We start from the raw sequence: 26,019 nt of genomic DNA on the forward strand, positions 1-26,019 counted from the left end.
TCCTTCCTCAGCCACCACAGTAGCTGGGATTGCACGTGTGCACCACCGCACCTGGCTAATTTTTGTATTTTTAGTAGAGATGGGGTTTCACCATGTTGGCCAGGCTGGTCTTGAACTCCTGACCTCAAGTAAGCCACCCCCATTGGCCTTCCAAAGTGCTGGGATTACAGGCCTGAGCCACCGTGCCCAGCCTTCAGCTTGCTTATTTTCTACTATCCTTTCTGTATTTTACTTCATTCCCAGGCTGGGAGGACTATGTTCATTGAAAATACTGATATTAGGGAATAAACATTTTAGAGCAATGTTATCTATTTCCTTATTGTTTTACTTACTGCTTTAATGAATTCTAGATAGGCCTTCAAATTTTTGCTTTATTCTGTTGCCAAGGTATCCTTCCTGAAATACAGCCATAATTATGTTACTCGCCTGTTCAAAATGGTATACTGGCTCTTCATTTCTTTTAAGAATAAAATTTAAAGTCCTTGGCCTAGTGTTCCAGGCCCTGTAGAATTTGGCCCCAAATAACCTTTGCTACCTTACTTTCCTCTGCTTTATAAATGAAATAAGCCATACATACTGAATATTTGCACTCTCCCTTATTGCCTCAGTTCTTTCCTACTTTTATGCTTTTGCTCATGCTATTTGATGAAGCAGGGGAAAGGCCAGCACAACTATAGTATAGTTATCAGGAAGAGTGGTACAAAATGAGGAAGAAAAGTTATGTATACTTGTACTTCTTGTTAAGGAGTTTGGGCTTTGTTCTTAGTGTAAGAGAAGGTCATTGAAAATTGCTAAATAGAAAATGACAAGTCCAGCTTACATTTTAAAAAGACTACTTTGACCACTATTTGACAAATAGATTGGAAAGGTACAAGAAGGGACAGGAGACCTATTAGAGACTTGCAGTATTGTGACAGGAAATAGAAATAGATGTGTGATTGTTTGGTGAAGGATTAATGACAGGAACAGGAAGAGGAGGGAGTTGGAACTATCAAGAATAACTCCCAGATTTTGGCTTGGGCAGTAGGATGATGTGCCATTCACAGAGATGTGGAAGACTAGGGAAGGTACAGTTGTCAAGGAGGCTAGAATAGAGCTCAGTTAGATGGCTGTGACATCCAAGTGGATATATCATGTATATAGTTGGAACTCAAGAAAAATCGTAGCTTGAAATGCAAATTTGAAAATAAGTAACAGCATGGAAATGGTACTAAAAGCCACAGGGAGAGATGAGATTACCTAGAAAGAGAATATAGACTGAGAACATTTCCTGGAAATTGGCCATACATTGAGGTCATTGATCATATTAGCAAGAGCACTTTTAGTCCAGAAGTATGGCTGTACTCTGCAGTAATTTGAAGAGGGAATTGGGGTAGGGAGAGAGGTAAAGGAGAGGAAAATAGGTTCCTCTTTAGAAGCTTGGCTATGAAGAGGAGCAGAGAAGTGGGCCAGTACCTGGAGGAAGATGTGAGGATTTTCTAAACATACATACTAAATGATGTTTTCAAGCCAATGGAAATGACCCTGAAAGATAGAAGAGAGATATGATAGGGAAAGGAAGCAAGGTCTGGAAGGGAAGATGAGTTGGGTTCCAGAGCAGCATTGGAGGAACTTGCCTTTAAAAGAATGGGAGAGGTGGTGTTGTCTCTGTATCCAGAAAGGTTATGGGAGCAGGTGGATTGGCATAGGTGGCAGCTGCCTCAGGACATCCACAGAAAGTGATCCCTCAGCCCAGAATGTTCTTCTTCCTGTTTGTTTGTTTAGCTCTCATTTTTACTTCACATCTCATCCTCCTCAGAGAATTCTTCTCTAGCTACCATTTCCCAGTAAAATTTCTCTTATATCAGCTTGTTTTTGTTCTTTGTAGCCCCTAATTTAGAATTATATATTTGTTTGCATTTGTTCAGTGCAGAAGCTGCAATCTCAAGAACCTGTAGAATCTAAATGAAATCTCCCAATTTTTAAATGTTGCTAGATAATTCTAAAATTGTATAGTCTACATACTTTAGGTATAAATGCAGGCCCTGTGTGTCCCACTCTACTCTGGGGAAGTCCGTAGGGATTCCTAGAGTATTTCATGAAAACTCTGCTTGCCAGTAATCTATAGTGTGGGTGAAAAGGATCCCATCATTGCATGTGTGTATCTTTGTTTCTGCCCATGATGTAGAACTCTAAAACAGTGTTTTGATGTCATATCAGAGATTAGAATTAGGGTTTATGATTGTGTCTTAGCTCATTCCTGCTGCTGTAACAAAATTCTGCAGATCTAAGATCAAGGCACCAGCAGATTGGGTGTCTGGTGAGAGCCCAGTCTCTGCTTCCAAAATGGTGTCTTGTTGCTTTGTCCTCACGTGGTGGAAGGCAGGGAAAGGCCAAACAGGAGCCTTCAGGCCAAAGGGCACTAATCCCATTCATGAAGGTGGAGCCTTCATGACCTAATCACCTCCTACCTAATACTATTATATTGGGGATTATGTTTCAACATGAATCTTAGAGGGACGCAAACATTCAAACCATAGAAAATTGTAAGATATTACATCTAAAAATGTCAAAAAATGAAGATAGAAAGTGGTAAATTTTATGTGTTTTTTACCACAATAAAAAAAAATTTGGAAAAAAAGTCAAGATGGTCCACAGAAAAGGAATTTCAAAGGGCTCTAAAACATGTAAAAAGGGTTTTTTAAAAAATTTATCCATTTAATTACTGACTATGAGAATGAAGTGTCAGGTTTCTTAGCTGAATATGGGGTTACCAATATCTGTCAGGTTTAATAGCAGGATTAATTAAAAAAAAAACAGATGCAGAGCATATGTCATAACACCCTACACAGAACAGGTGGTAAATACATATAGCAGTTGCTTTTATGATCTGGAGAACTGAAGTGCCTTCCTCCAGGTCACGTAGCCGGTCAGTGGCAGAGCCCAGGCCAAAATTCATGTCTCTTAAACTTTTACTGTACCAGCGAGGCTACTAAGAACAAGGCATCAGTCTTTTGTGCAGGCAGTGAATTTTCTGATACCTTATATAAACTATTCTTTCCTTTAGTCTTTGTTCTGTATCTAAAGAATTGTGAATAGTATTTCTAAACAGAATGCTAATTTTTTAAGTTCTTTCAAAATCTTTTTTTCTCCTTTTCAGAGTCCGAATGTCATTCAGAATTTGAAAATACTACCCGTTCTGTCTTCAGGTCAGCAAAGTTTTACATTCATCATCCCGTACACCTACCAAGTGATCAAGATATTTGCCATGAATCTTTGGGAAAGAGTGTTTTCATGAGACATTCTTGGAAAGATTTCTTTCAGCATCATCCAGACAAACATAGAGAACACATGTGTCTTCCTCTTCCTTATCAAAACATGGACAAGACTAAGACAGATTATACCAGAATAAAGAGCCTCAGCATCAATGTGAATTTGGGAAACAAAGAAGTGATGGATACTACTAAAAGTCAAGTTAGAGATTATCCAAAACATAATGGACAAATTAGTGATCCACAAAGGGATCAGAAGGTCACCCCAGAGCAAACAACTCAGCACACTGTGAGTTTGAATGAACTGTGGAACAAGTATCGGGAGCGACAGAGGCAACAGAGACAGCCTGAGTTGGGTGACAGGAAAGAACTGTCCTTGGTGGACCGACTTGATCGTTTGGCTAAAATTCTTCAGAATCCAATCACACATTCTCTCCAGGTCTCAGAAAGTACACATGATGATAGCAGAGGGGAACGAAGTGTGAAGGAATGGAGTGGTAGACAACAGCAGAGAAATAAGCTTCAGAAAAAGAAGCGGTTTAAAAGCCTAGAGAAAAGCCATAAAAATACAGGCGAGCTTAAAAAAAGCAAGGTGCTTTCTCATCATCGAGCTGGGAGGTCTAATCAAATTAAAATTGAACAGATTAAATTTGATAAATATATTCTGAGTAAACAGCCAGGTTTTAATTATATAAGCAACACTTCTTCGGATTGTCGGCCCTCAGAGGAGAGTGAGCTGCTCACAGATACTACCACCAACATCCTTTCCGGCACCACTTCTACTGTCGAATCAGATATATTGACCCAAACAGATAGAGAGGTGGCTCTGCACGAAAGGAGTAGCTCTGTTTCCACTATTGACACTGCCCGGCTGATTCAAGCTTTTGGCCATGAAAGAGTATGCTTGTCACCCAGACGAATTAAATTATATAGCAGCATCACCAACCAACAGAGGAGATACCTTGAGAAGCGGAGCAAACACAGCAAGAAAGTGCTGAATACAGGTCATCCCCTAGTGACTTCTGAGCACACCAGAAGGAGACACATCCAGGTACATGGCTACAGATTCCATCTGGCAATGTGACTGCCCTCTTCATGGACTTTTTAGTTAAGCTTTGCACACAGGTGAAAAAAACAAGCCATTTGCCCTTTCCTCTCTATACCATTTCTTACCAACTGGAAAAGAGTGAGAAAGTGTAGTACAGTGCTATTGTGAGTTGTCATTATTTTCATCAACATTCATTTACGAATTACCTTTTGAATGAAGGGCTTTGCTGCTAGATCCTTCACAGTCTGCAAAGTTTACCCCTGAAATGGGGGAGCTTTGAGGTTAGAATGATCTCTATCCTGAACAATATTGCTGGGTTTATGTTTATTTGGGTTTTTTTTTTTTAATTCATTCCTCTCTGTCTTTCAGGAAATATATTTGAGGTTCTTTTAAACACACACACACAGACAAACACATAAATAATACAGGGTTTTTTTTTTTGTAATTGAAGAATGGAGTTGATTTGAAAAATTGAAGCTGGGGTGAGCTACAATATGATTTTTTAAAAATGAGTAAATAAGGAATTGTGAATAATGGAAAGACAAGTCAAAGCCAGGAGGAAGATAAATAAGCCTTGTGGATGTGGTCGCTAGAAAAGAGCTACAAATTTGGCTTTATGTTTTCTAGCACTTAGTGTTGCTAGAATTTTGTGATCAATAACATTCACTTTTTAATATAAAAAGAGAACAAAATTTTTAGAAACATTACAGATTTCTGATAAGAGACCTAAAATAAATTTCTCTCATCTGTCTTCTTAAAGAAGGCACCACAGTGCAACAAAGAGTATCCTCCTATAAGGCCATTATCACATTCCTTAGTTTAGGGTGTTAATAAGGGAGATCTCAAGGGGTCAATAAATGTAGGCCATTGCTTTAACCCAAGAGGAAAATTTCAAGTATCACTAGACATGCTCTCCAAAGAAGGATGCTTGCAAAATGGTTCAGTGGAGTATGGAACGAAAAATATTTGAATTTATATTCATTTTCCCCAACTTTTTAAAATTTATATTTTTGTGTATATTTTATGAGTACAGTAGTGACATAACATATAAATAAATATCTATTTTGACAACTTGTGCTAAAAAAATTTTTGTCAGATTACATGATCAAAAGAAATTGGAGACCACTGGTCTAGAGAAAGGGAGGCATGAGATGTTCAGACAATTTATTATAAATATTATTTCTCCTCATTGAGCTTTTGGCAGTGTTTACATATATAAATAATAGAGTATGCTTTTTTTCTAAAGTAAGTGAAGAATTGGGAATGGTACAGAGTAAGGCTTTTGTTCCATAGGGGAGATAGATAAATGGATCCAGGAGAGGGTTTGTGTGTGTGTAGTAAAATACACATGACATAAAGTTTACAGTTTTGATCATTTTCAAGTATACAATTCTGTGGCATTGAGTATATTCACAGTGTTTTACAACCATCACCACTATCTATTTCCAGAAATTTTTAATTAACCCAGTGGAAACCCTGTACCCATTAAGCAGTGACTCTCTGTTCCCTCTTCTCACCAGCCCCCGGCAACCAGTAATCTATTTTCTGTCTCTGAGGATTTTCCTATTCTGGTTGTTTCATATAAATGGAATCATTTAATATATGACCTTGGTATCAGGCTTCTCTCTCTTAGACACAGTGTTTTGAATATTCATCCATGACATAACATGTATCAATACTTCGTTGCTTTTTATAGCTGAGTATTATTCCGTTGCATGTATATACCACATTTTGTTTATCCATTCATTTATTGATTTGGGTTGTTTCCACTTTTTGGTTATTGTGAATAGAATTGATATAGAACGTTTGTGTACACCTGTCTGCAATTCTTTTGGGTATATATCTAGGAATGGAAATGCTGGGCCATATGGTAATTCTGTGGATTAGCTTATTGAGGAACTGCCAGACTATTCCATAGTACCTGCACTATTTTGCATTCCCATCAGCAGTGTATAAGGGTTCCTCCAACCCTCCTCCTTTTTTCCACAGCGACTGCTTTAGTTTATATTCGCACCAGCAGTTCACAAGGGTTTCAATTTTATTGCATCCTTGCCAACACTTATTTTCCATTTTTTAATATATAAACTAACCATCCTGTTGGGTGTGAGTTAGTATCATTGTGGTTTTGATTTGCATTTCCCTAGTGATTATTCATGTTGCACATCTTTTTATGTGCTTATTTAACCATTTGTATATCTTCTTTTGAAAAATGTCTTTTCAAGTCATTTGGCCATTTTAAATCTGGCTGTTTGATTTTTTGGTTTTTGAGTTGTTGGGATTTTCTATATATTCTGGATATTGATCTCTTGTTAGATACATGATCTGCAAATATTTTCTCCCATTTTGTAGGTTGCCTCTTTCACAGTCACTCTGCTGACCGTGTCTTCTGACATATAGAAGTTTTAAATTTTGATGTAGTCCAATTTAGCTATTTTTTTTTTGTTTTTTGTGCTTTTGGTGTCATATCTTAGAAATATTTGCCAAATCCAGTGTCGTGAAAGTTTTCTTCTTAAGAGTTTAATAATTTTAGCTTTTACTTTTAGGTCTTTGATCCATTTTGAGTTAATTTTTGTGTATGGTGTAAGATAAGGGTCCACCTTCATTCTTCTGCATGTGAATATCCCGTTTTCTCAACATCGTTTGTTGAAAAGACTTTTTTTCCCCATTGAATGTTCTTGGCACTCTTGCCAAAAATCGTTTAGCCATATACGTGAGGGTTTTTATCTGGGCTCTCTATTCTGTTAGTCTATATATCTCTCTTTATGCCACTACTGCACTGTTTTGATTTACTGTGTATTTAAAATGAGTTTTGAAAGCAGGTAGTGTGAAACCTGTAACTTAGTTCTTTTTTCAAAATTATTTTGGCTGTTTGGTTTCCCTTGAGATTTCATGAATTTTAGTAAATATTTTATTGTTTTTAATACTACCATATGTGCAATTTCTTTCTTAATTTCATTTTTGGATTATTCATTGCTAATGTATAGGTACATAAATAATTTTTACATACTGATCTTGTATCTTGCAGCTTTGCTGAATTTATTAACTCTTTTTTTGTGTGGATTTTTAAGGATCTCTAGGATTTCATGTTGAGGAAGTTCCCTTCTTTTTCTATTTTGATGAGTGTTTTTGTCATCAAAGCATTTTGGTGTTTGCCAAATTCTTCAGCATCTATTGAGATTACTAGTTTTTTCTTTTTCTTTTTCTTTTTTTTTTTTTGAGACAGAGTTTCACTCTTGTTGCCCAGGCTGGAGTGCAATGACGTGATCTCAGCTCACTGCAACCTCTGCCTCCTGGGTTCAACCAATTCTCCTGCTTCAGCCTCCCGAGTAGCTGGGATTACAGGTGCCTGACACCATGCCCAGCTATTTTTTTGGATTTTTAGTAGAGACAGGGTTTCACCATGTTGGCCAGGCTGGTCTTGAACCCCTGACCTCAGGTGATCCACCCCCCTCAGTCTCCCCAAAGTGCTGGGATTACAGGCATGAGCCATTGTGCCTGGCCTGTTTTTTTCTTTTATTCTGTTAATATGGTGTATATTTATTGATAATCATATTTTGAACCAACTTTACATTCCTGAGATAAATACCACTTGATCATAAAATTCTGTTCATATGCTGCTGGATTCAGTTTATTAGAATTTGAAGAGGACTTTTTACATCTATATTCACAAGGAATATTTGTCTATAGTTTCTTTGTGATATCTTTACTGCCTTTATATCAGGGTACTACTGGCCTTATAGAATGAGAAAGTTTTCCCACCTCTTGGTTTTTGATAATGAGTTTGAGAAGGATTAATGTTAATGATTGACGTTAATTCTTTAAATGTTGGTAGAATTCACCAGTAAAGCCATCTGGCCCTGTGTTTTTCTTTGGGGAAATTTTTTTTCATTACTGATTCAATGTCTTTTAAGTCTATTTAGATTTTGTTTCTTCTTGAGTCAGTTTCTGTAGTTTGTGTTTCTAGAAATTTGTTTATCTTTTTTTTTAAAGTCTGTTTCATTTATCTCCATTGAATCTACATTATTCTGCTTGCTTTGGATTTAGTATGTTTTTTTTTCTTCTCATTTCTTATGATTCAAAGTTAGGTTATTCATTTGGGATTATTCTTTAATGTAGGCATTTGTAGCTATAAATGTCTCTTTAAGCCTTGCTTTTGTAGATAAGTTCTGCCTTCATTGCTTGCCATAAGTTTTGGTATGTTTGTCTTCTTTTTCATTCAAAATGTTTGCTGATTTCTTCTTTGACCATTGACTGTTTAGGACAGTGTTGTTTAATTTCTACTTGTGAATTCCCCACCTTTCTTTGTTATTGATTTCTGGTTTTACTCCATTGTGATCAGAGAATATATTTTGTATTATTTCAATCCTTCATTTATGACCTTGCATATGATCTGTCCTTGAGAATTTTATGTGCATTTAAGACGAATGTGTATTCTGTTGCTGTTTGGAGTGTTCTCTATTGTGTTAGGTCTAGCTGGTTTATAATGTTGTTCAAGTCCTCTATTTCCTTATCAGTCTTTTGTCCAGTTTTTCTATGGCTATCAGAAGTGGATTATTGAAGTCTCCAGCTATTACTGTGGAACTATCTATTTCTCCATTGAAATCTGTCAGTTTTTTGCTTCATATATTTTAGGGCTCTGTTGTCAGTTGTGTGTATGTTCATAATTGTTATATCCTCTTCATGGATTGATCCTTTTATCAGTACAAAATCCTCTTTTTGTCTCTTGTAACAATTTTTAATGTAAAGTCTGTTTTGTCTGATATTAGGGTAACTACCCCAGCTCTCTTTTGGGTAACTATTTGCATGGAATACCTTTTTTATCCTTTTAATTTCTAACTCTTTGTGTCTTTGGATGTAAAGTAAGTCTCTTTTAGACATAACATAGATGGTCATTTTTTATAAGCTATTCTGCCCTCTCTGCCTTTTAATTGGCGAGTATAATCCATTTACATTTAATTTCATAAGAAAGGACTTACTTTCCCCGTGCTGTTTGCTTTCTTTATGTCATATCTTTTTTGTTTTTCATTTCTACTGCCTTCTTTGTATCTAATTGATTTTTTGTAGTGTACCAGTTTTATTCCCTTTTCATTTTTTTTTTAACATTTCATAGTTATTTTCTTACGGGTTACATTGAGGATTACAATTAATATCTTAAACATGTAACAGCCTGATATGAAATAAAACCAACTTAGCTTCAATAATATACAAACACTGTTGTTAATACATCTCTATTCTTCCCCTTAACTTTAATAATACACAAAAACTGTGGGTAGACATCTCCATCCCTTCCTCTTTAATTGTTATAGTCACAGATTACATCTTCATTTTGTCCCCACTAAAATAGATTTATAATTATTTTATGCATTCGTTTTTTAAATCAGATAAGGGAAAAGGGAAGAGTTACAAACCAGAAGTATAATAGGGACTTTATTTTTACCTATGTAATTGTCTTACCCTTATTTCTTATGCCTTATTTCTATGTATATGCCTTAAGCCTTATTTCTATGTATACTTCAAGGTATTGTCAAATGTCCTTTCATTTCACCTTGGAGTACTCTCTTTATCATTCCTTATAGGGAAGGTCTACTTGTAACAAATTTACTTTTGTTTATCTGGGAATGTCTTTAATTTCTCCTTTATTCTTTTTTTATTTATTTTTTTTTTTGAGACGGAGTCGTCCTGGGCTGTAGTGCAATGGCACAATCTAAGCTCACTGCAACCTCCACCTCCCGGGTTCCAGCAGTTCTCCTGCCTCGACCTCCCAAGTAGCTGAGATTACAGGTGCCTGCCACCATGCCTGGGTAATTTTTGTGTTTTTAGTAGAGATGGGGTTTCACCATGTTGGCCAGGCTGGTCTTAAACTCACGACCTCAGGTGATCCACCTGCCTTGACCTCCCAAAGTGCTGGGATTACAGGCATGAGCCACTGTACCTGGCCTTCTTTTTTTTTTCTTTTTAAGATGGAGTCTCACTCTGTCGCCCAGGCTGGAGTACAGTGGCGTGATCTTGGCTCACTGCAACCTCCACCTCCCGGGTTCAAGTGATTCTTCTGCCTCAGCCTCCTGAGTAGCTGGGATTACAGGTGCACACCACCACACCCAGCTAATTTTTGTATTTTAGTAGAGACGTGGTTTCACCGTGTTGGCCAGGCTGGTCTTGAACTCCTGACCTCAGGTGAGCCACCCACCTCGGCCTCCCAAAGTCTCCTTTATTCTTAAAGTTTTGCTGGAGGTAGATTTCTTGTCTTACACTTTTTATCTTTCATCATTTCAAATATGTCATTTCACTGCCTATTGTCTTCCATGGTTTCTGGTGAGAAATTAGCAATTAATTTTACCGAGGATCCCTTCTGTGCTCGCCCTTATTCTTACTGCTTTCAAGATTCTCTGTCTTTGGCTTTGACATTTTCATTATAACATGTCTCAGTGTGGCTCTCTTTCAGTTTATCCTACTAAGAGTTCATTGAGCTACTTCGATGTTTAGATTAATGTTTTCCCCTTATCAAGTTGGAGGAGTTTCCAACCATTATTTCTCCAAATATTCCTTCTGCCCCTTTCTTTCTCTCTTCTTTTGGGATTCCTAATATGCATCTGTTGGTAAGTTTGATGGTATCCTACAAGTCTCTTAAGCTCTGTTCATTTTTCTTCATTCTGTTTTCTTTCATTTTCTATTTTTTTAGAGTAGGGTTTCACACTATCCCAGACTGGAGTACAGTGATGTAATCATAGCTCACTGCGGCGTCGAACTCTGGGCTCAAGAAATCTTTCTGCCTCAGCTTTCCGAGTAGCTGGGACTACAAGGCATGCACCACCACACTCATCTCATTCTGTTTTCTTTCTGTCCCTCAGAGTACGTAATTTCATTTCACCTATCTTCACCTATCTTCAAGTTCACTGATCTTTCATCTGTGTGATCAAATCTGGTATTGGACTGCTCTAGTGAATTTTTCATTTTAGCTCTTGTACTTTTCAGCTTCATATTTTCTATTTGATTCCTCTTTGTCTTCATTGATATTCTCTTTGTTGAGACATTGTTCTCATTTCCTTTAGTTCTTTATCCATGGTTTCCTTTAGCTCTTTGAGCACATTTAAAACAGTTGATTTAAAGCTTTTGCCTAGTAAGTCTACTGTGTGTTCTTCCTAAGGGACAATTTCTATTTATTTCTCTCCTCTAACCCATGAATGGGCCATACTTTCTTGTTTCTTTTCATGCCTCATAATGTTATGTTAAAATTTTGACATTTTGAATATTATGATGTGATAACTCTGGACATCAGATTTTCCTCCCCTTCTCTAGGGTTTGTAGTTACTGCTTGTTGTAAGTTAAAGTTGTTGGTTTATTTAGTGACTTTTCTAAATTATGTTTGTAACGACTGTACTCTTTGTTGTTGTGTGATATTTCTGTTCCTTTAGCTTAGTAGCTGGCTACTTGTTTGATAGAGATTTTCTTAAATGCCTGGGGCCGAAAAAAGCAAAAGAAAAAAGAAAATTCCCCAAGTCTTTGCAGATTTTCTGCATTCGGACACTCCTTCAATGCTTAGCCAGGCCATTCACAACTCTCTGCCTTAGCCTTGCTTCCTACTTGTACTGAGCCTAAAGGTCAACCAGTGGTGAAAGTGTCTGGTCTTCTCAGGTCTTTTCTGAACATGCATCTTGCTCTGTGCATGCACTTTCTAGTTTCCCTGGTATACATGGGAAATTTTCCAAGCCCTTATGCCCCAAAGATTCTCAGTTTTTCTTTCCTGCTTTTAGTATGTCTATTGTTTCCCTTGAACTGTTAATTTTTGCTCCAGGCAGTAGTGCCTTGTTCATTTGGTTTTCAGTATTTTCAAGGAACATTCTTCCCCTATAAAACTACTTTTTCACTCTAAGAGAGTTATGTTAGGTGAAACTAAGGCAGGTCCCTTGTGTCAGTCCACGGCTAATACTCAGACATGTCAAAACAAACACAATTCCTTGGGAACAAGGTACTACTCCGTGCTGTCTTTGGGAGCAGGTACCTACATCAGGACCAAGGGCTGCCGTCTTTAAGACCACCATGCTGGGTAAGGGGATAGCAGAAGGCTAAGTTAAAATGCTACAAAGTTCTTCTACCTTGTGCTGATGGCCTTTCTCCTGGTTTAGCAAACACTTGGTTACTATAAACCTTTGACTATCTTCCAAAGTTCAGATAAGGTTGGCTTTGACAGTTTTCCGTATTTTTTGGTGTTTCTAGAGAAGGCACTTTCTCCCTTGGAGGTCTCTACTCTACCATTTTTGCTTGTCGTTCCCAGGTGGAGTTGTGTGTCCCTCTGACCATCAAAATAACTAGAGTGACATCAATTATTTTTTCTTTTTTTTTTTTTTGAGACGTAGTCTCTATTGCCCAGCCTGGAGTGCAGTGGCACAATCTCAGCTCACTGCAACCTCTGCCTCCTGGGTTCAAGCGATTCTTCTGCCTCAGCCTACCGAGTAGCTGGGACTACAGGTGTGCACCACCATGCTTGGCTAATTTTTGTATTTTAGTAGAGACAGGGTTTCACCACGTTGGTCAGGATGGTCTTGATCTCCTGACCTCGTGATCTGTCCGCCTTGGCCTCCCAAAATGCTGGGATTACAGGCGTGAGCCACTGTGCCCAGCCTGTGTTACATTTTTAATATCTTTGCCTTTGATTTTACTTCATCCAGTACAGTTTTTTTTAAATTTGCATTTGCACTATTGCTCTTTGCCCATCCTTTTAGCCTTTTGAGTCACTTTACTCAAGTGTTAGTAACATCTGAATTTAACTTTTTTCCCACCCAATCTGAAGGTCTCTCTTTTGAAACAAATTTATTCCATTTAAGTTTACTGTTGTAAATGTTTGGTTTAAATTTTATTATTTTGGCTTTTTTTCATTCTGATGTATTTATTAAATAAAGGTGTGTTCAACTAAATTTCATTTCAAAGTAAGGAGAGGGGTGAATTTCTTGTGCGTGGTAAAAAACACATACCAAAAAATTCCCTTCTTAACTGTTCTTAAGTGTACAAGTCAATAATGTTAAATGTATTCACACTATGTTGAAACCAATCTCCAGAACTTTTTCATATTGCAAACCTGAAACTCTATACCCATTGAACAACAACTGCCCTTGTCCCCGTCCCCCAGCTCCTGGTAACCACTATTCTGCTTCCTGTTTATGAATGATTACCTTAGATACCTCATATGAGTGTAATCATGCAGATTTGTCTTTTTGTGACTGACTTGTTTCACTTAGCATAAGATCTTAAAGATTCATCCATATAATCCATGTAGCATGTTATAGGATTTCCTCCCTTTTTAATTCTGTATGATATTCTACTGTTTACATATACCACATTTTGTTTTTCTGTTATTCATTGATGGACATTTGGGTTGTTTCCACCTTTTAGCTATGGTAAATAGTGCTGCTGTGAACATGGGTATGTAACTGTCTTTTTGAGACCTTGCTTTCAATTCTTTGGGATACATACCCAGAAGAAGGATTGCCAGATCATATATAGTAGTTCTATTTTTAACTTTTTGAGGAGCCTCAACACTGTTTTCCCTAGTGGTTGTGCCATTTTGCAATGCCACCAACAATGTACAAGGGTTCTAATTTCTTTACATCCTTACCAACACTTGTTTTTTTTTTTTATAGTAGCCATCCTCATGGGTGTGAGGTAATACTGTTTTGATTTGCATTGCTCTTATGCTTAGTGATACTGAGCATTTTTTTATATGCTTTTTGGCCATTTGTATGTCATCTTTAGAGAAATGTCTATTCAAGTCCACTTTTACTTTTTTTTTTTTTTAGAGGTGGGGTCTCACTGTTTTGTCCATCCTGGTCTCGAGCTCCTGGGCTCAAGCAGTCTTTCCCCATTGACCTCCGAAAGTGCTGGGATTATAGGCATGAGCCACCATACCTGGCCTGCCCATCTTTTAGTTAGGTATTTGATTTTTGTTGTTGTTGTTGCGACTGCTTTATATTTTCTGTATGTTAACCCCTTCTCAGATACATGATTTGTAAATATTTTCTCCCATTCAATAGGTTGTCTTTCACTCTGTTGATTGTGTCCCCTGATGTACAAGTTTTTAAGTTTAGTGTGGTCCTGTTTGTCTATTTTTGCTTTCGTTGCCTGTGATTTTGGTGTAATATTCAAAAAATTATTGCCACATTGAATGTCATGAAGCTTTTTCTGTAAGAGTTATATGGGTTTAGGTCTTACATTTAGGTCTTTAACCCATTTTGAGTTAATTTTTGTACATGGTATAAGATAAGGGTCCAATTTCATTCTTTTGCATGTGGATATCCAGTTATCCAAGCATCATTTGAAAGCTATCCTTTTCCCACTGAGTGGTCTTGGCACCCTCGTCAAAAATCATTTGAACATATATGCGAGAGTTTATTTCTGGGCATGTTTTCTTATTTCATTGGTCTGCTTGTTTGTCTTTATACTAATATCACACTATTTTGATTACTGTTCCTCTGGTAATATGTTTTCAAATCAGGAAGTGTGAATACTCCAACATTGTTCTTGTCTTTCAAAGTTGTTTTGGCTATTCAGGATTTCTTATCATTTTTAATGATTTCTTGCTATTTCCAATCTTTTTTGTTGATTGCTATGTAATGCATGTTTCTTCGAGTTGGTTTTTTGATAACTTAGCAACTATGTAATCTAATTAACTAATATGCTTCAACCACTTTCTCAATCTGTCAGTGTCAGATATGAAACTATCTATTGGCTCTATTATATGAAAAATTAAGAAACTGATTTTACTTCTTCCCACCTATCCCCCACATAATTTTCCCCAACTAACCAATAGTGGTTATATTTTGTGAATTTTGTCTCAGCTCATTTATAGTAGTAGTATTACTATATTGACTAGCTTCTGTTTCAAGAATTAGAACATTTTACTTACATTTTATAAGATCATGAGTTATTTTACATTAGTTGTATTTAAATATAGGGTCAGTATTTACCAGGAGTCTTTTCACATACCTATTTATGAGTTTGTTAATTTCAATCTGTTGTTTGACTAGACTGTTAAATGTTCAGGAGTGATCATCTTTTATGTTCTTGCAAATTTGAGACTATTACCTTTATGTACCAGAACAACAACTGAGTTGGATATAAAAGTTTTGATTAACAGTTCTTAATTCAAAACTGTTAATTTTGCTCCTCTTTTCTGGATTACCAGTATTTAATGTTTCATATGCTTGCTTGCTTTGTTTCTTTCTTTATTATTTCCATAGTTTGGAGGGAACAGGTGGTTTTTGGTTACATGGATAAGTTGTTTACTGGTGATTTCTGAGATTTTGGTGCACCCATCACCTGAGCAGTATACACTGCACCTAATGTGTAGTCTTTTATTCCTCACCCCGCTCCCACCCTTCCCCCCTAAGTTCCCAAATCCATTATATCATCCTTATTCCTTTGTATCCTCATAACTTAGCTCCCCGTTATAAATGAGAACATACAATATTTGATTTTCCATTCCTGAGTTACCTCACTTAGAAGAATGGTCTCCAACTCCACATTGCTGCAAATGCCATTATTTTATTCCTTTTTATGGCTGAGTAGTATTCCATGGTGTATATGTACCACATTTTCTTTATCTACACATTGGTTGATAGGCATTTAGGCTGCTTCCATGTTTTTGCAATTGCGAATCATGCTGCTATAAACATGCATGTGCAAGTATCTTTTTCATATAATGACATATTTTCCTCTGGGAAGATACCCAGTAGTGGGACTGCTGGATCAAATGGTAGTTCTACTTTTAGTTCTTTAAGGGATCTCCATACTGTTTTGCATAATGGTTATACTAGTTTACATTCCCACCAGCAGTGTAAAAATATTCCCTTTTCACCACGTCCACACCAACATCTATTTTTATTTTTTATTTTTTTATTTATGGCCATTCTTGCAGGAGTAATGTGGTATCTCATTGTGGTTTTAATTTGCATTTCCCTTACAATTAATGATGATGAGCTTTTTTTTTTTTTTTTTTTGAGACAGAGTCTCACTCTGTTGCCCAGGCTAGAGTGCAGTGGCATGGTCTTGGCTCACTGCAACCTCTGCTTCCCAGGTTCAAGAGATTCTTCTGCCTCAGCCTCCCAAGTAGCTGGGATTACAGGCAGGTGCCACCACGTCTGGCTAATTTTTTTGTATTTTTAGTAGAGATGGGGTTTCACTGTCTGAGCCAGGATGGTCTTGATCTCCTGACCTCGTGATCTGCCTACCTCAGCCTCCCAAAGTGCTGGGATTACAGGCATAAGCCACCACGCCTGGCCGATGATGATCATTTTTGCATACACTTCTTGGCCTTTTTTTTTTTTTTTCCCCGAGACGGAGTCTCGCTCTTGTTGCCCTGGCTGGAGTACAATGGCACAATCTCCACTCACTGCAACCACTGCATCCCGGGTTCAAGCAGTTCTTCTGCCTCAGCCTCTGGAGTAGCCGGGATTACAGGTGCCTACCACCACGCCTGGCCAATTTTTTGTATTTTTAGTATTTAATTTTTTGTATTTGTATTTTGTATTTTAGTAGTGGTTTCACCATGTTGGCCAGGCTGATCTTGAACTCCTGACCTCAAGTGATCCACCTGCCTCGGCCTCCCAAGATGCTGGGATTACAGACATGAACCATCGCACCTAGCCCATTTGTATATCTTCTTTTGAGAATTGTCTATTCTTGTCCTTTGCCCACTTTTTGTTGGGATTATTTGTTCTTTTCTTGATTTGTTTGAGTTCCTTGTAGATTCTGCATATTAGTCCGTTGTCGGATGCATGGTTTGCAAATAGTTTCTCCCATTTTGTGGGTTGTTTGCTGATTATTTCTTTTGATGTGCAGGGCCCATCTATTTATTTTTGTTTTTTGTTGCATTTACTTTTGGGTTCTTGGTCGTGAGCTCTTTGCCTAAGTCAATGTCTACAAGAGTTTTTCCAGTGTTATCTTACAGAATTGTTATGGTTTCAGGTCTTAGATTTAAGTCTTTAATCCATCTTGAGTTAATTTTTTTGTAAGGGTGAGAGATGAGGATCCAGTTTCATTCTCCTATATGTGGCTTGCTAATTATCCCAGGACCATTTGTTGAATAGGGTGTCCTTTCCTTACTTTATATTTTTGTTTGCTTTGTCAAAGATCAGTTGGCTGTAAGTATTTGGCTTTATTTCTGGGTTCTGTGTTCTGTTCCATTGGTCTTGGTGCCTATTTTTATACCAGTACCATGCTGTTTTGTTAACTATACCCTTGTAGTATAGTTTGAAGTCAGGTAATAAGGAGGCCTCCAGGTTTGTTCTTTTTGCTTAGTCATGCTTCGGCTGTGTGTGCTGTTTTTTGGTTCCATATGAATTTTAGGATTGTTTTTTCTAGTTCTGCAAAGAATGATGATGGTATTTTGATGGAAATTGCATTGAATATGTAGATTGCTTTTGGCAATATGGTCATTTTCACAATATTAATTCTAGCCATCCATGAGCATGGGATAGGTTTCCATTTGTTTGTGTCATCAATGATTTCTTTCAGCAGTGTGTTTCTCATTTTCCTTGTAGAGATCTTTCACCTCCTTGGTTAGGTATATTCCTAAGGTTTTGTGTTTTTTTTTGTTTGTTTGTTTATTTGTTTGTTTTGCAGTTGTTGTAAAAGGGATTGAGTTCTTGATTTGTTTCTCAGCTTGGTCTTTGTTGGTGCATAGCAGTGCTACTGATTTGTGTACATTGATTTTGTATCCTGTAACTTTACTGAATTCATGTGTCAGATCTAGGAACTTTTTGAATGAGTCTTTAGGATTTTCTAGGTATACAGTCATATCATCGGTGAACAGTGACAGTTTGACTTCCTATTTACCTGCTTGGGTGCTCTTTATTTTTTTCTCTTGTCTGATTGCTTTAGCTAGGACTTCGAGTACAGTGTTGAATAGCAGGGATGAAAGTGGGCATTCTTGTCTTGTTCCAGTTCTCAGGGGAAATCCTTTTAACCTTTTCCCCATTCAGTATAATTTTGGTGTGGGTTTGCCATAGATGGCTTTTATTACCTTAAGGTATGTCCTTTCTATGCCGATTTTGCTGAGGGTTTTAATTATAAAGTGATGCTGAATTTTGCCAGATGCTTTTTCTGCATCTTTTGAGATGATCATGTGATTTTTATTTTAAATTCTGTTTATGTGGTGTATCACATTTATTGACTTGTGCATGTTAAGCCATCCCTGCATCCCTGGTATGAAACCCACTTGACCATGGTGGATTATCTTTTTGATATGCTGTTGGATTTGGTTAGCTGGTATTTTGTTGAGGACTTTTGCATCTGTGTTCATCAGGGATATTGGTCTTTTGGTTCTTTGAAAAGATAAACAAAATTGGTAGACCATTAGTGAGATTAACCAAGAAAAGAAGAGAGAAGATCCAAGTAAACTCAATTAGAAACAAAATGGGAGATATTACAACCAATACCACAGAAATACAAAAGATCATTCAAAGCTATTATGAAAACCTTTACATGTACAAACTAGAAAATCTAGAGGAGATGATTAAATTCCTGGAAATATACAACCCTTCTATATTAAATCAGGAAGAAATAGGAACTCCGAACAGACCAATAACAAGTAGTGAGATTGAAACAGTAATTTAAAAAACTGCTAACAAAAAAAAGTCCAGGACCAGATGGATTCACAGCTGAATTCTATCAGACATTCAAAGAAGAATTGGTACAAATCCTACTGAAACAATTCCAAAAGATAAAGAGGGAATCCTCCTTAAATCATTATGTGAAACCAGTATCACCCTAATACCAAAACCAGGAAGGGACATAACAAAGAAACTGTTGACTCGCTCTTTCTGTGTTTCTCTCTGCCCCGTGCTGTCTCCCCTGCAGTCTCTGCAGTCCAGGCCCTCTTCTCTCTCTATGATCTCTTTGCACTCTGTCTGTTTCTCTGTTCTGTCTGCCTCTGCTCACCCACACGTGCACTTGTGCCCCACATGCCCCACCCTCGTTCTCTCTGGTTCCCACTGTGTCTGTTGTGTGTCTCTATTCTTCTTCTGATTACTCTTTCCTCCCCCACCCTTATCTCTTTAATGTTATTGCTATGTTTGTCTCTGTGCTTTCTCTGTGTGTTTTCACTCTTTTTCTTTCCTGTCTCCCTTCTGCAGTTCTGTTTCTTGGTGTCTGGTTGTCTTCTGGTGGGGGAGAAGGGATAGTTTACTATTGTCAGTACAAAAAGTGAAGAAAAAAGGTCATTCAGTAGTTTTCCTTTATGAAGAAAAAGCTGAAGATGGTGAATGATTTCTCTGTATTTTAGATCTCTCCTTATTTATATTAGCTCATGTTTCCAGCAGGTGGGCAAATAAACAACACAAGCAAACTACCAAACAGAGAGACCTCCATGAGAAAAGAAAATGAGAGCTTTATGTCCAACTAAATGTTTATTAATGTTTCATATATTTTTGTAAAATGGAGTTCATATCAGACTTTACATGCCTATATACGAAGAGAAATTACACTCAAAAGCAGCATCCTGAAATCCAAAGCGTAAATTTTTTTATACGTTTACAGAGAAAGAGTTAAGATATAAAACTATGTATACATATTATAATCCAAATATACATACCTATGTGTATATATATATACGTATACATATCAGTATCACCGGAACAAAATATATGTCATACATAGAACAAAAAACTGAAATTATTATAAAAATATGAATTATGATTTTTTCTTTTATATTTTTGTCTATTTTTTACAAGAATTATGTTCTAATAAGAAACCATAAAAGTTGTTTTTGTTTAACAATAATAGAATAAGGTAAGCCAGATTGATAAACACAAAAAGTTATAAGCTTAGAAGGTGAATTCCCAAATTTCTCATTGACTTCTATTTTGGGTGTAAAAGACCATTTTGAGCTTCCCAAACTAGTCATAATGAACCCTTCTAGAAGTATAGTGAAATAATAGGATTAGAGAACTAGTATACATGGTTTCTGTGTCATGATAAAGTACAGTTTTCTTTTAACTTCCAGTGCCAAGGGTTGAGTTAAATGTACTCCTCAGTTCATGACCCCTCTTTTTAAAATTTTATCACCATATGCCATCCTCATTTCTGTCTCCCCATAGGAAACCAGTCTTATGTAAATATCTTTCAGGTTACATGAGTTCTTACAAAATACATATTTTTTAAGTATGCATGAACTTTCATCATATATAAAAGGTGTACCATTATTTTTGTTATGTTGGCTAAGTTTTGTATTTTCAAAGTCTGCCTACATTGCTGTAAGTATATATCTACATTGCTGTAAGTATATCTAATCACATAATGCTCCATGGAGTGCATCTACCCACTTACGCATGAACACCCAGGAGCACCCAGGTTCCTGTCAGTTCCCCAGCACCACAGAACATGGCAGTGCTGTCTTTGTCCATGTCCCCTTATGCGTCTGTCTGAAACTGTCTTTAGCATATATACCCAGAAGTGGAATTCTTGGCTTACAGGCTCGTATACTTAATTTCCTACATTAGTACCAAATTGCTTTCCAGTTCATATTCCTACCTGCAGTGCATGAAAATTTCCATTTCTACTTCTCTGCCAATTATTTCTAATTTTTATCAGAACACTAGTAAAACAAGTTTCTATACCATGGGAAGATAGGTGTTTTTTTTTTTTCTTTTTAATGAGATGATACTTGTCTTGAACATCTAGAGTATCTCTTTAATTTCCGTGGGAAGAGAGTTTTTCATATAATTTACAGTGCTTTCAACCAGAATACATTCGTTTGTTCATTCATCCAAACATAATTATAGAATTGACAAAAGCACAGAGTGACATACTTTAATAAGCTTTTCTCAGATTTATATATATGAGTGAGAAAATATATGGAAAATTTTTATAACAATATTTAAAAACTTGATTTAAATATCTGGTAAAACTTCATTGTCAAAACACAGCATCCACATTTGTTCCAAATACCCATGGAATATTTACAAAATTAATTGTACGTTAGACAAAATATTGATGAATTCTCAAAGCAGAAGTTTTATAAGTAAGCCCATATTCTGTAACTGTAATGCAGTAAAATTGAACTTAACAACTATAATTTTTAATTTTGCTAATGCTTTAAATTGCATTTCTATTAGGTTTCAGATTTGCCATTTACATTTCTTACTTTGAGAATTACCTTTGTGTATCCTTTGCCTGTTTTTCTCTGAAGGTTTTTTTCCTATTCATTTTTGTAAACATATTTGGAGACCACTGTAGTTGCTGTTTTTTTAAATTCTGTTTTATTACTTTTTTTTTTTTTTTTTTTTTTGAGATGTCTCGCTCTGTCACCCAGGCTGGAGTGCAGTGGAAAGATCTCGGCTCACTGCAACCTCCACCTTGCGGGTTCAAGCGATTTTCCTGCCTCAGCCTCCTGAGTAGTTGGGATTACAGGTGCGCACCACCACGCCTGACTAATTTTTTTGTATTTTTAGTAGAGACGGGGTTTCACCATGTTGGTCAGGCTGGTCTGAAACTCCTGACCTTGTGATCTGCCCACAGCCTCCCAAAGTGCTGGAATTACAGGCGTGAGCCACCGCGCCCGGCCCCTTTTTTTTCTTTTTTAGAGATGTGGTCTTGCTATGTTGCCCAGGCTGATCTCAAACTCCTGGCCTCAACCAATCTTCCCACCTAAGCCTTCTGAGTAGCTGGGACTACAGGCATGTGCCACTGTGCCTGGCTTCCTATTGATTTTTAAGCTTAATTACATTGTGTTAATATTGGAATAAATAATATTGTTATGTATTTCTTTATTTCTGTGTTCATGCTAAAAAAGATCTTCCAACCTCAAGATTTGTTTTTAAAAAATTATCCTGCTTTACTTTTGATACTTTTTGAGGGATATGGAAGCTTTAAGCTTTAATTTAAGCTTAAGCTTTTAATCTACATGGAATTTATTTTTGTGTGTATAGGTATAAATTTATTTCCAAATGGTAGCTAGTTGCCAATAAAGATTTTTAAATAAAGTAATGTCAATAAATTAATTTATTAGAAAAATCTAATGTTCTTTTGTTAAGCTAGACTCCAATCAGTTAGAATTGGTAAATAATTGGCATGGTTCTTTTGAAATTTCCGTTCAAAACAACTGAAATAACATATGGACACCTTATAAAAATTGACAGACCTGAAGAGGAAATTAATTCTGACTGAAACATGAAGGAGTTTTATTTATTAAACTTGAAGTTGGATCAGATCATCCAAGTGAAAATATCTAACAAGCTAGATGGATCTGACCCCATGAGGATATCATGAGTGAGATGAAGATTTTAGAGTCATCCATGTAAAGGTGGTGGTAATTCTTATAGTTATTAAAGCCAAGAGGAAACATATTTGGGAGAATGCAAAGAATAAATAAATGTATAGGGCTACTTCCAGGCTGTAGTTTTTCAAAGCTGATAGAAAAACCTTTGGGAAACATGCTGTCTCGCTCTATCACCCTCTACAAAATTGTATGATCATTTGTCAACCTTCTGGTTTTCCTGTGAGTTAATTGAGTGTTTTAGCTCTTGATTCATTTTCTTTCTGTCCAACCCAAAGCCCTACCATTATCTGGGAAATTTTATTATCCCATTAGAGTTTTTTTTACCTTAGTTGTAATGATCATTGACTGTAATAATTTCCACTGCATTTTAGCCATACATTCTCTTAACTATTGTTTGAATTTTGGATTCACTCAAAATTATTTGTTCTCTGCAATCTTTACTTCTTCACATACCAAAATAAATTTTTCAAGAACCTGTTATGCAGGCACAGTACATTGTTAATTTTCTGAGGAAGATTTTCCATAGTTTTCTGATCAACCACACTGGCAGAAATAGATAACTAGTTCTAATTTCCAAAAGGTAAGTAATAGATAGTTACCACCTGAGTTTCTGCTTCTGCAACCTTTTTTCACTAGGAATTAAATGTATGTCACAGCATTATTTTTTGGACAGACACTTGGTCATTGTGTCACCCCTTGGTGATGAGTAAATTTTATTGAAAATATACTTGCTGTTTGATTGACACAGTTCTATAAACTTTTCACAAGAAAAGACAGTCTTTTGGTGCCATAGACTATATTTCTCATTTTGACTCTGACTGTTTTATCAATGTGTGTCTCTGGTCCTAAGCCTGAGTGATTATAAATGAATTAGCGTAAACCCATGCCTCTAAAGGAAAAGCATCTCCCAGCAGGCACCTGGCTAGCTGAAGGCCAGCAGTACCAATCCTCCTGCCTGAAGAATAGCAGTGTAGGGTCATATCAGAAAACATGGCCCTTTTCCTATGTTGGATATGTTTTTCTAAGATCAGTTTCCACCTAACAAGTAATTTTTTAATTGAAAAGCTTTTATTTCTAGGTCTGTCTCATGTCTTTAATAAATACGGGAATGAGTCTCATTTAGTTCTTAAGCTAAAGAGTACTACAAAAACCCTGAAACATCTCTGAGATGGTACATTTACTTTCCATTGTTACTCTTGTATAAGACAGCAACAGGTGAGTTTGCTCTCATAGTGGAAATTAAAACAGAAGCAGCCAGCCAGCATATATTTCCTTCCAAGATTGTGTACAAGAGAAAGCCTAACCCATGGTGGCTGATAATGCCATTTAATATATAGTCACCTAAATCTTTATGTGTCAGCTCCATTGCAGAGGACTCAGTGGGCTACTCCACACCCAAGCCTGAGGGATGAGGAGATCATTAGAGATGCGTGGGACTCTCCCACGGACTAAGGAAAGTGAACTGTTTTGGTTTACTGACCGCATATATAAATGGATTCAGGAAAAAAAAAAAAAAAAAGTTCCATCCCATGATGGGTCCTCAGCACAAATTGTGGGACATGAGTGCAGATGTGTGCATTGTGATTATTGTGAATCCGTGGATGGATTCAACATCACATGGCACGGTTCTGACAGTTTGTGCTTGGCCCAGCTTTAGAGTAGTGCTCCATCACTCCTATAGCATCCAGTGCCCACCTTTTTTTAGGATTGTTTGTTGTTTATTACATGAAGGCAACACTGTTTATCACTTTCCAAGGTTGATCTTTTTCTGATTTCGGTAACATAGGAGATGCAGAACTATAGAGTATAACCTTTTTTCTCCAAACAAGACTTCATAGTCCACATTTTTTTCAGTTGGCATACAATAAATAAGTGCATTTTATGCCTTTCTTGACATATTTTCCATGCCGTAAACTTTACCTGTTTAAAGTGTACAGTTTAATGGGTCTTGATTTAGTCACAGAATTGTGCAACCATCACCGTATTCTGATTTTAGAATATTTTAAACACCCTCCAAAAAAATCCTGTAAACATTAACAATCAATCTTCATTTCCCCAGCCTCCCACCTCTGCCACAGCCTGCAGGCAACCACTAATGACTTTCTGTTTCTATGGATTTGCCTATTCTGGACCTTTCATATAAATGGAATCACAGTCTTTCGTGACTGACTTCATTCACTTAACATAGTATTTTCAAGGTTCGTACACCTCATAGCATGTGCTCATTCCTTTTAATGGCCAAAGGACATTCCATTCTATGAATATACCACATTGTATCTATTCATCAGTTCATGGACATTTGTGTTGTTTCTGTTTTTTGTCTATTATGAACAAAACTGCTATGAATATTCATGTAGAAGTTTTTTTGAGGGCATATGTTTTCATTTCTCTTGGGTATATACCTAGGAGTGGAATTAATCATATGACAACTCTATGTTTAACCATTTGAGGAACTGCCAGACTTTTCCAAAATGACTGCACCATTTTACATTCCCACCAGCAGTATGTGAGGGTTCCAATTTTTCCACATCCTAGTGAACAGTTGTTTTTGTCTCTGTCTTTGATTGTCATCTTCCTACTGGGCTGGATAATTATATTGGGTTGAGAGAGAATTTATTCTTAGACTTTTCTATTTTTAAATGTTTACCTTTTTATAGGCAAGCATTACTAAATGAAAAAGAATTTGAAATGAAAACGGAAACATTCCAAGGCTCCTCATATAATCCAGTGTAATTGTGTGTTTTTTCACACCCTGTGGTGCACACCATGACTACTTGTGTCCTTTGGAAGTGCAGGATGTTCACAGAACCTCAGACTTGGAAGGGACCACTGGAGTCCTGTGAATCCTACCCACTCCCATCAACACTTCTGCTGCATCTGCACCAAATGACAGGCCACCCTCTAATAGCTCCACCTCTCACGTGCTACTTATGGGGCAGCCAGTTCCATTTGCCTAAGGCTTCAGTTATCAAAGGCTTTAACTTAAATCCAATATCTCCTTGCATTGGAATACCTGGCTCTGCTCCCAGAGCTGCTCTCTGAAGGCACAGGAAACAGACCTAGCCCTCTGCCTCTCGGACCCCCACCTCCTTTCCTGATGTGTTTTTTCTCAGGTCTTCACTCCATGAACCGTTCCACATGGGCTGTGGTATCTACTCTCCTTTCTGAGTTTGGCAGCTTTCCTGGGTATAAGTTTGTTGGTATCTTGTTTTTAAATATGTCCCTCTCAGCTAAGCTTGTTGTGCTTCAGGTAGTGAGAGCGTATTGACCAACACAACTTACCACCTTCCATTCAGTGACTGGACCATGTCTGTGGCCTAACGTATGTTATTCCTTTTGAACTCCTTAAATCTTTTCTGCCACACCCTTCCCCACAAGTTTTTGTTTATTCTCATTTCTTGAACTGGTAATACAGTACAACCACATGATACAAAATATTTGATCAAGAGTGT

At 36.9% G+C, this 26,019-nt stretch overlaps 1 protein-coding gene across 2 annotated transcripts in view; it reads left to right on the forward strand.

Annotated features, from left to right (window-relative positions):
* ALMS1 (ALMS1 centrosome and basal body associated protein) overlaps positions 1-26,019 on the forward strand; it is a 224,162-nt gene that overhangs the window by 183,365 nt on the left and 14,778 nt on the right. For both annotated transcript variants that reach the window (NM_015120.4, NM_001378454.1), the window contains 1 exon segment: positions 3,140-4,302. In NM_015120.4, coding sequence (NP_055935.4) covers positions 3,140-4,302 — 1,163 coding nt within the window.

Source organism: Homo sapiens, chromosome 2 (genome assembly GCF_000001405.40).
Source record: "Homo sapiens chromosome 2, GRCh38.p14 Primary Assembly".
NCBI classification, from domain to species: Eukaryota; Metazoa; Chordata; class Mammalia; order Primates; family Hominidae; genus Homo; species Homo sapiens.